The following is an 11244-nucleotide window of genomic DNA, read 5'->3' as shown; positions in this document are numbered from 1 at the left end:
TCAGCCCATCTTTACTGCAGCTCAATCATTCACATTTTCCTATTTTATTTTCCAAGAAGCAACTGGTGCCATGATATTGTGATATTTGTCCTTATGAACAGAATCTTGAGGTTTCAAAACCCAATTTTCTAAAATATGAAGTTCATTTCACTTTTATTCTCCTTTTTGGGGTGATCTTTGGTGCAAGAACACACCCAGCCTCTAGCAACAGCAAGTTAGACTGTACTAGTCAGCATTCCATAGCACCATGCTACTAGCACAGACTCTGTCTGAACACATTGCTCCATGCCCTTTCTTAGGAATACAGGAAAATTGGGGATAGGAGCAGAGACTTAACCAGGATACAGGCCAAAGGTGGTTGGCTTTGGATCCCGAGGGCTGGAGGCGAAAGTGAGTTATGACCCAAGGCAGCGAGAAGCAAAAAGAAGCCAAGGTACAAGTCCTTAATGAGTACTGAAAATCAAACCATGGAATCCAGTTCATTCACTATACCCACCAACAACAATGGCATGGAAAATGGGAGACAACAACTGGAATAAGATGGAAAGAAGTTTGAAAGCCAATTGAGAAGGTCTCTGAGTGCTGGCTGATCCTTAGAAACCTTAGCCTGGCCTTCTGAATGCTTCAATTTCTTTCCCAGCCTCCTCTCTCACCATCCTCCCCTCATCTAACAACACGAACACAGCAAGCACTTCCATACCTCTAAGGTTTTCCTTATGCTGCCCCTTCGGCCTGGAATGCCTTTCTCCCATACCTTCGGACTTTGACGATGAACTCACTTTTCAAGAATCAACTTAAAAACTGCTTCCTCTGTGAAGCCTTCCTCATCCTCCCCAACTTAGCATTAGTCACTGCATCTCTGTGTTGTCATAAACTTTACTTATATCCTTCATAGCACATAAATTATATGTTGCATTGTAGTTATTTGTGTCTGTGTCTGTATCTCTGACTGATGTGTAAACTCTTTGAGGACAGTTTTGTTTCTTCCTTATACCCAGTTCCTTGAGGATAGGGATTTTTAATCTCTGTCCTATTTATCTTTGTGTCCTCAGGGCCTGGCAAAGGACCTAGCACAAAGTGAGGCTCTTGATAAATGTTTTTGAATGAATGAATGATTATTGAAGGATGAGTTTATGAATAAATGATGGAGACAAACCATAGCATGTAAAACACTAAGACAGCAGACGGGGGGAAAATCTCTTTTATTTAGACACCAGAAAAAAATAATTGTGTGGCTTGAAAATCATGTATATTTGGATTAGGGAGGGGTTTGAAGAAAATAGCAAATGAGTGACTTTGTTGTAATAACTAATCTCTTGGTTTACAGCAAGAAGAAATAAAATACATCTTCAAAAGCTTTTTTTTTTTTTTTTTTTTTTTTTTTTTTTTTTTTTTGCTTTTTCACTCTAAGCAGAAATACACAACCTTCAGCAAAACAGCAATGCTCTCAGAGGAGCTAAAAAAACACAGGATATTGACAGACGTGTTGTCCTTTTTCATTAATTTTTTGTTATTCCTTTCTCAGAGCTAACTGATAAAGGACACAGGTGAGAAAAAAATATCAAGTAGAGATGAAGAGAAGTGTCAAAAAGAAATAAAATTTCAAAGTAAAAGATGAAGTAACCTTTGCCCACTGAGATACACTACCAAGTGAGTCATCTGTCCCTAAATCTAACAGCTACCAACTTCTAAAGAGGAATTGAAGCAGCTTACAGTGAGGGAGAGAGACAGAGAGAGCGCGAGAATGAATACAGGAATATAGCCAGGTGGGTTAAAGTAAAGATAAGAAAAATATCTGCAACTCCATAACTCCATCAGAAAAGGAGAAACATGAATGGACTAGGAACTAAAGATAAAGAAGTTACTGCAACTGAATGCTGAAATTCGTTCTGGCCTTTCTCGCAATTAAGAAAATAATTCATGATGGGTTACAAATCTCTCCTTGTGTAAAAGAAAATGTGGCACTGGGAGTAAGTCATCAACTCTGAGCTGTTTCTTCAGAAGTGAGAATGGTTTCTGTTTGAAGCCTTCCCCACTCTCTTGGCCAGTACCTTTGTGAGCCATGACACACACTGGCAAGGTTGGCTGTGACGTTAGAATGGACAGCAGCTGAGAGGCCTACAGGGGACTGAACATGTGGCTCCTACCTACTGAGCTGCCTAGCTGTGGACTCTGAAAAGTGATAAGTAGGAAAGCTCCCAATTCCGAAAGAACCATATTTTTAAAGCTAATATTAACACTTAAAATACAAACATCTAGATTATTTACCTTGGCTTCATTTTTAAAAGAAACTCTTTGAGAATTACAGTCAAGGTTTATTCAATTTCTCAATTTAGAAAACCTTTTCAGAATATAGATAAGTAATATCTAAAATTTTCTATTCGTTAATTAACTTTTCCCATTGCCAATAACTTAAACCCTAGTCCCCTCCTCCCCAGAAAGACAAGCTACAGCTAACGCTTAAACATTCATCTTCCTCTTCTAATTGCTGTGTAGGAGTAATTCTGTGATTCTGGAAGGAAACTTCAGTGAATAAATGAACAACTCTCTCATTTGCTATTTGGAAGTTATAAAAATTACAAGACATCATTCCATTATATTCCCTCATTTCCTTGTCATTGGGAAGGGTTCCAACCTCTCATCATATTAAAAAGCAATTATCAAAATGTTTTATTCCATAATAAGTTTGACTACTAGGAGAAAAAGTATTCAGAAATCAAAATAAGGGGGTTCTTTTTAGCATATAAACAGGTGAGTCAACCCTACAAATCCGAAAAAAAATAGCAGTGAGAGATTACTCTTGAAACCATCTATTTGGAATTTGGTGTCTTTACTTTGGTGTTTCTATACTGCCTAATTCCCATTAAACTGTTGTGTGATCACATTGTAGATGTTATCTTCTTGCTGAATATGCAGGCTGATGGAGTTGGGTCACAGTTTCTACAGAAGTTAGCACACAGCACTATTCACCAAGGTAAGCTGGGCTTTGTTAGAAAGAATTCAGAGAGTGCTCATGCCTGGGTTAGTCAACCAGTAGTGGGCTCTGAAGCCACCACATGCAGGGCACTGAGCTCTGGAGCTGGGGAGAATTGCAAAGGGATTTAAAGATATACCATCTAGTCCCTTTGTAATAATCCTTAACTTCATACAGAACCTTACAATTTACAAAGGGCTTTCCCTTAGGTTGCTGATTTTGATCCTTACAATAACCTAGAGAAGCCAGTAAAGTAGATCTTACCAGTACTCATTTGATAAATGAGGAAAGCAAGGCTCAGAGGGTTTATGTACTTTGCCTGTAGTCATGAAGTTAGTTAAAAAAAGGAAGGCTTTTGATGAAGAGTACAGTGCTCTTTTACATCCTGTTACTTTTCACATATCAGCAAATGCAGGCGTGCACATAAAAGAGACGGAGCTGAGTCAAATCACATATAAAACCATCCTCCTGAGGGATCAGTCAGAAAGGAGCAAAGGATAAATGGTGAGGTGGGTTGGGGTGTCACCCATGGCCAAGGCTGCTGGACCATATGGCACCTTTGTATCAATTAGAAAAGGTGCTTACTTCTAATGGATATAGTCCTGAGGGTGGAAGTAGCTTATAGAACCCTTGTGGGAACTGGAAAAAAATGGGGAAGTGTGCCCCTTCCACCCTTTGGATGTGGCCAGTACCAGAGTGCAGGGCTGGGGTGAGCATGGTTTAGATTTCAACCAGCACTGATCTCCTTGGCTGGGTGCTTTGGCACAAAGCATTTCTACATAACCATACATGGTGGTCCTGACTTAGGTGACTAGAAGACCCAAGACTAGGAAAAGCTAGCTGGAGTCTTTGCTACCCGAAGTGTGGTTCTTGGACTAGTAGCATCGGCTTTTACCCAGGAGCACGTTAGATACACAGAATCCCAGGCCCCACTTCCAAACCTACTGACTCAGAATCTGTGTTATAATAAGATCCCCCACGTGATTTGAGAAGCCCTGGGCTCCAACGGAGAGATAAGCTAAGAGCAGGATCTCTGGGAGTTGGAGCAATGTGAATCCCTGATTAGCTGTGGAATGGCAAGCAGGTTTGCCTGGCTGGAGAAGAGGGCACTTAGAGCACAGGTGAGCCCCTGCCCTCCAACGGCAATATGATTGGAACTCAGTCTACAGTCTAACATTACCTTTTGCTTTTCTGTTTTCTTTTTTCTTTCTTTCTTCTTTTTTTTTTTTTTTTTTGAGACAAGGTCTCGCTCTGTCGCCCAGGCTGGAGTGCAGTGGTGGAATCTGGGCTCACTACCTCTGCCTCCCAGGTTCAAGCGATTCTCCTGCCTCAGCCTCCCGAGTAGCTGGGACTACAGGTGCGTGCCACCATGCCCGGCTAATTTTTGTATTTTTTGGTAGAGACAGAGTTTCACCATGTTGGCCAGGCTGGTCTTGAACTCCTGACCTCAAGCAATATCCCCCCACATCGGCCTCCCAAAGTGCTGAGATTACAGACGTGAGCCACTGAGCTCGGCTACCTTTTACTGTTCTTACATTACTTGATTCAACAGAGATGGTTTGAGCCGTCTCTGATGTACTAAACCCTACACATCTAAAGTTCAGTATGTCACAGTCCCTGTTCTCAAGGAAGTCACTGTCTAGAGATAACAGAGAACATTCAATCCAATGCAGCAAGCACCCCAATGAAGATGTACACAAAACACCTGGGGGAGCACAGAGTAGCAGCAAACAACTCTGCCTGTGATATTTGAGTTAAGTGTCGAAAGATAAGGAATTGCCCACACAGAGGACAAGAGTGTCTCTCCAGGCAGAGGTGCCTATCTCCCTCAGTGAATTGTGGACCTTTTAAAGGGGGTCTAGTTTCATTTATATCTCCCTCCCCTTCGCCTGTCTCAGGGACTACCACAGTGGCCAATGCACAGCTGTTAATGCTTGCTAACTCACTGATGAACTGACAGACTGAATGGAAAAAAAAAAAGTGAATGAATGGGTTTGGAAAGAGGAGTCCCACAGACTACCATGGGAGGTGAAAAGACCTTATAATCTCCCAGGAATTATGTGGTTAAGATCTACAGTTGTGCTCTGGCTGGAGAAATGAGAGAAAGAGGTAAGAAATAGTGTACTGTGCTAGGGTTTCTTTTCTGAAAGAAAAATGTAACAATGAGACAGAGACTTTAAAAAATACACTTTTGTTAAATCTAAATAATTCTTAACAATGAGCTGAGAGAGCCTGCAATCAGATCTATTCTCTCCAAATAGGGTGAGTGGAGGGCACCGGGAAAGGCTGCTGCCAGGGAATTAAGCCTGCTTTCTCCAGCTCACCGTGGGGTTCCATTTTGCTTTGGGCAAGAGAATGGACATTTTCTTTTTACAAATTTCCATTGCACAGAACAAGACAAGAGTTCCCCGAATGAAATCCAGTCATTAGTCTCCCTCTTATATAATCTGCATAATACTTCCAGAGAGGGGCAGAGGGAGGGGGTCACAAGCAGGTGAGCCAGAGACCTGAAGGGACTCATCTGGGCCCTGTTAGTGCAACAAAGTACATTGTAACCCATCTGCCCCAGAGCCTCCATGCACTGAATATTCAGTTATAGCACATAACTGGCTTGGAGTCTGCATATACTGTAAGTTGAATGCAGATGACATTTTCTGCAATATAAGAAATACATTTCAGAAAAGTAGGTTAGACTCTGTTCTTTAGTGTAAAAAAGTTATTGGGCATTCAGAGAAGACTAAGGAGCTCAGTGTGGTTAAAGTCAGTACAGGTGGTAGGGGCCGAGAAGGGGAGGGGAGATTTCATGTAAAAGATGCAGAGGTCCTGAACCAAGCCTATGGAATGTGGAGAAGAGGAAAGGAAGGATTTCAGAGGTATTTCAGAATTGAGGAACAAATTAAACATGGGTGGCCAGAGACTGGGGAGAATTGAGAATGATTCCCAGATCTCTAGTTTGGGCACTGGCTGGGACTGAGGAGATGAAGATCATTAGTTTGAATATGAACATGTTGAGTTGGAGGTGCTTATGAATAATGTAGGTGCTGATGTTCAACAGGAGTTGGAAATATAGGGCTGGAGTTTAGTGGAGGGGTTTGGGCTGGAGATATAGATGTAGAAATTATCAGCTTATTATAATGAAAGCCACAGAAGTGAATTACATCTCTCAGGGAGAACATAGAGAAAGGAGAGGAGAAGACTGAGGAGAGGACCCTGGGAAAGGCCAACAAGAGCCAGGATAGAGTGGTATCAAGGAAGCTGAGAAAGGACAGAGTTCAGGATGGAGTGGGTTGCCAAGAGTTTGGGATGCTACAAGAGGTTGCAGAGGATAAGGGCTGAAAGGAAATCAGCAGATTAGTCAGTTACTAGGTCCTTGGTTATCTTCACCAGAGCAGTTTCAGTGGCACAGGGGAGGAAAGATCTGGTTTTAGGAGAATAAAGAATGGCTGCAAAATGAAACACTGAAGACTACGAGGGGTTTGGTGATGGAAGAAACAAAAATGAGTTGATGTCTTGAGGAGGAGACAGATTCTCAGGAAGGACTTTTAGTATGCCAGAAGCTTGGGCATGCTGACCAGAGCAGGACAGATTTGGGTGATGGGAGAAAAAAATGACATTAATGGAGGTAGGTCCCTGGGGAGGTGAGGTAAGGATGTGTCTTAGAAAGGAAGGACACCTTTTCCTTTGAAACAGGAAGGAATTAACAAATAAGCAAAGAAACAAACAGAATAGAAGGTGTTGTTTTTCTCAAACAAATCAGCAAGAAAAATATCTCATGAAAAAGTTAACAAATGATACGAATAGACATTTCTCAAAAGTGGATATACAAATGGCCGACAAACATATGAAAAATGCTCAACATCACTAATCATCAGGGAAATGCAAATTACAACCACACTCGTGAGATACCACCTTACTCCCACAAGAACGGCCATTACTAAAAAGTCAAAACCCAAAGATGTTAGTGTGGATTTGGGGAAAAGGGAATGCTTATACACTGCTGGTAGGAATGTAAATTAGTACAACCTCTATGGAAAACAGTATGGGGATTTCTTGAAGATCTAAAAGTAGATCTAGTATTTGACCCAGCAAACCCCACTACTGGGTATCTACCCAAAGGAAAATAGGCCATTACATGAAAAAGACACATGCACATGTATGTTTATAGCAGCACAATTCACGATGCAAAGATATGGAACCAACACAAGTGCTCTTGACTGACGACTAGATAAAGAAAATGTGATATATATATATATGTATACACACACACACACACACACACACACACACACCATAGAATACTACTCAGCCATAAAAAGAATGAAATAATGTCTTTTGCAGCAACTTAGATGGAGCTGGAGGCCATTATTCTAAGTGAAGTAACACAGGAATGGAAAACCAAATACTGTATGTTCTCACTTGCAAGTGGGAGCTAAGCTATGGGTACCCAAAGGCATACAGAATGGTATAATGGACTCTGGAGACTCAGAAGGGGGAAGGGTGAGAGGAGGATGAGGGATAAAAAACTATATATTGGGTACAATGTACACTACTCGGGTGAGAGATGCACTAAAATCTCAGACTTCACCACTGTACAATTTATCCATGTAACCAAAACCATTTGTACCCCAAAAGCTATTGAAATAAAAAAAAATTTTTAAAGAATGTGTTGTTTGGAAAACATCTTTGTCAATAGAAATATTAGCACTTGAATAATTAACAAAGAGGAGGGACACAATCAGGCTCAGTTGTGTAAAAGAATAATTCCAATCTCTCATGCCAGCCTCTTACCACTTACGCCTAATTAACATATGGCACCCTAACAATTATGCATATCAATATATACTTGTCAGAATAACTTCATTTTAAGTTTTGCTTTGTTTCACAACTAAACTCTCCTTAAGTTTGCTCAGTTTTCATAACTTGTAGTTTATGTAATATTGTTTGTTCACCATCTATAAAAGATTTAAGGAGCATTGGTTTGGGCAGGAGAAAATTCTCGCATGTCAGTTTACTTCTATGACATTTAACTTGGCAATTAGGGGAATGAGAGAGAAAAGAATAATGTGTTTACAAGAAACAGAAAAGGAAACTTTATGGCCCTGTCACATTCAAGAGATATGCTTGTTCATGGAGATGCTTCTCTCATTTTGAGAGAAGATTGTGTTTTTGAAAGAAGTTTTTTTCCTAGGCCTCTGGTAGTTACATGTAATTACTGCATCCTAGGGAACACAAATGTGAAGAAAGCTCAGCAGATGTGTTCTTTGGAGGTCATCGTGTGAGAAGTGGTTTGATGTGCACTACAGCAAAACTCATTTTGTGATTTGTTTTGCTCCCCCACACAATGACTCATCTCTTTGTCTGAGACATGAAAATCTATATGGTTTTAAATGGTATCAGAATATGCTTTTAATTCTAGCATAAACATTATTAAAATAATGGCTACCATATATTGAGTGCCTACTATGTGATAGATATGATACATGTATTAGCACAGTATTCAAAAACTTTTTATTGACTCTCTTCTTAATTCTTTCAGTAATCCTAAGAGATGAGCACAACTGAGGCTTCATCCACCAGTTATTACCCCATTTCTTTGTTATTATTCACAGCAAACATCGCTAAAGCATTGTCTCTACTCTGTCTCCAATTCTTCCTTAGACCCACTCTAGTTAGGCTCTTTCCTGTACTAGTCCACAAAAACTGCTCCGGTTAAGTCACCAATAACCTCCTCCTTCTCAATCTGTAAGTTGGCTTCCAAGAAGGGCTCAGGGAACCCCTGCTGAGAACCACTGCTCCATGCTGCCAGATGATGGAGTCATCAAGGGCATGGGCTTTGGTATGAGAGAGACTGGAGTTTGAATGCCAGACCTGTCACTATGTACCTAACTTTTGGCAAGATACTTAAATATTTTAATTCAATCCAACAAACATTTATGAGGGCTGCTATATGCCAGGTGTTGTTCTAAGTGCTTGGGGATAATAATCTTCCTTGACCCAGAAGCAGCATTTAAGACAGTGGATTACTCCCTCCTCCTTAATACGCTTTCTTCACTTAGTTTCCAGGACATCATAATCTCTTGATTTTCCTCTAACTTCACCAAACACTCCTTAGTCTCCTTTGCCAGTTGTGCCTCTTCTCTGACCTCTTAATATTGTGGGGCCTTGGGACTCAGTCATTGGATTTCTTCTCTATCTCTATTACTTCCCAGGTGGTCTCATCTGAGCTCATGACTTTGTAGGCCATCTCTATACCTATGACTCCCAAATTTATATCTCCAGCTTGGACTTTTCCCTTGAACTTCAGACTTCTGTATCCAACTTCCTACTCAATATCATCTCCACTTTAATTTCTTTATTTTATTTTATTTTTTGAGACAGAGTCTTTACTCTGTCACATAGGCTGGAGTGCAGTGGCATAATCTCAGCTCACTGCAACCTCCACCTCCTGGGTCCTAGAGATTCTCATGTCTCAGCCTCCAGACTAGCTGAGATTACAGGTGTGTGCCACCATGCCTGGTTATTTTTTGTATTTTTAGTAGAGACGGGATTTTGCCATGTTGGCCATGCTGGTCTCGAACTCCTGACCTCAAGTGATCTGCCTCCCTTGGCCTCCCAAAGTGCTGGGGTTACAGGTGTGAGCCACCACATTTGGCCTCCACAAGGATTTCAAATCGGCATCTTGATATGTCCAAAACACTGCTCCTGATCTTTCCCCACAATGAAAATGTAAGAAAGTATTTTATGCATATATCATAATATCACTTTGTGCCCCATAAATGTAACAAGTATAATTTGCCAATTTACAATTTTTTTAAAAGGGTAAGAACAAAGGAAAGCCTGCTCCAAATTATACCCTTTCTCGGATGTAGGTAGTATCTTAATCCTTGTAGATATTCTTGATATCTTTCTTTTTCATTCACCATACCCAATCTATCATGAAATTAGGATGGATCCACCTTCAAAAATTGACAAGTCAACCATTCTTCACCACATCCTCTGCTACCTCCCCATTGCTTGATCTCATCAGTACTGCTTCGACCTATCACAGATAGTCATGTGGCTAGTTCCCTTTTATTCTGTGCTCAGATGTCACCTTCTCAGCAAGGCATAGCCTGACCTCCCTGTTTGATACTGCAGCCTGTACCCTCTCCCCAGCATTCCCATGTCTGAAGACCCTGCTTGACCTTTTCTTTAATCCGTGACACTTACCACCTCCTAGCACATCATAGTATACTTATTTAATTGTTTGTCATTTATCTCCCCCTCTTAGAACATAAGCATCATAAAGGCAGGGATTTCTATCTATTCGTCCACTACTATACTGCCTAAGCTCCTGGAACAGTACTTAGCATAGAGTACATCCAATACGTGTTTGTGGGATTGAATTAGAAGACTTAAGTATCTTACCAAAGACTGCTTACACAGTGACAGGTCTGGTGTTCAAACTCCAGCCTCTCTGATACCAACGCCAATACCCTTGACAACTTCATCCTATGGCATCATGGAGCAGTGGTTCTCAGCAGGGGTGCTCTGATCCCTTCTTGGAAGCCAAGGAAGCAATATATTCTTGCTACAGCCAAGCATACAAAGTATTATGATGACTCTCAGAGACAATATTGAGTTGAACATGTCACTCAATACAATATACAGTGAAGTTCAACTCGATGTAAGGGGGAAGAGGTGTGCAGCAACATCAAAGAAGTGTCCAGGGGCAGGAGCAGGGAGGTGGACTGGGGATTTGTTGTTCAATGGGTATAACGTGTCAGTTATGCTAGATGAATATGTTCTAGAGATCTGCTGTATGACATAGTGCCTATAGTTACCAATACGGTATTGTGCACTTCAAAACATCTTAAGTGGGTAGATCTTACGATATGTGTTCTTACCACAAAAAGAAAGAACACAAAAAGCTTGGGAGGTATTGGATATGTCTATTACCTTGACTGTGGTGATGGTCAAATAGGTGTGTGCATATGTTCCAATTCATCACATTATACACCTTAAATATGTGCAGTTATTTGTGTATCAATTATACCTCAATAAAGCTGTTAAATTGGTGGGTTTTTTAATCTTAAAAAATCAAATGTCACAGAACACTATCACACAGGTATGCAGAAAGACTGCCTGTTCTCTTGCCTCCTGGGCGTATAAGTGAGCATGGTTAGGGCAGGCAACTGTTCTATTTGAAGTATGACACAAGGCTGAGGCATATTGATAAACAGCAATTTTTTGCCAGGTCCTGTGAGGCATTGTTAGAGTACAATAGAGAT

This window comes from Homo sapiens, chromosome X, assembly GCF_000001405.40.
Source record: "Homo sapiens chromosome X, GRCh38.p14 Primary Assembly".
NCBI classification, from domain to species: Eukaryota; Metazoa; Chordata; class Mammalia; order Primates; family Hominidae; genus Homo; species Homo sapiens.
This window is presented reverse-complemented; position numbering follows the sequence as displayed.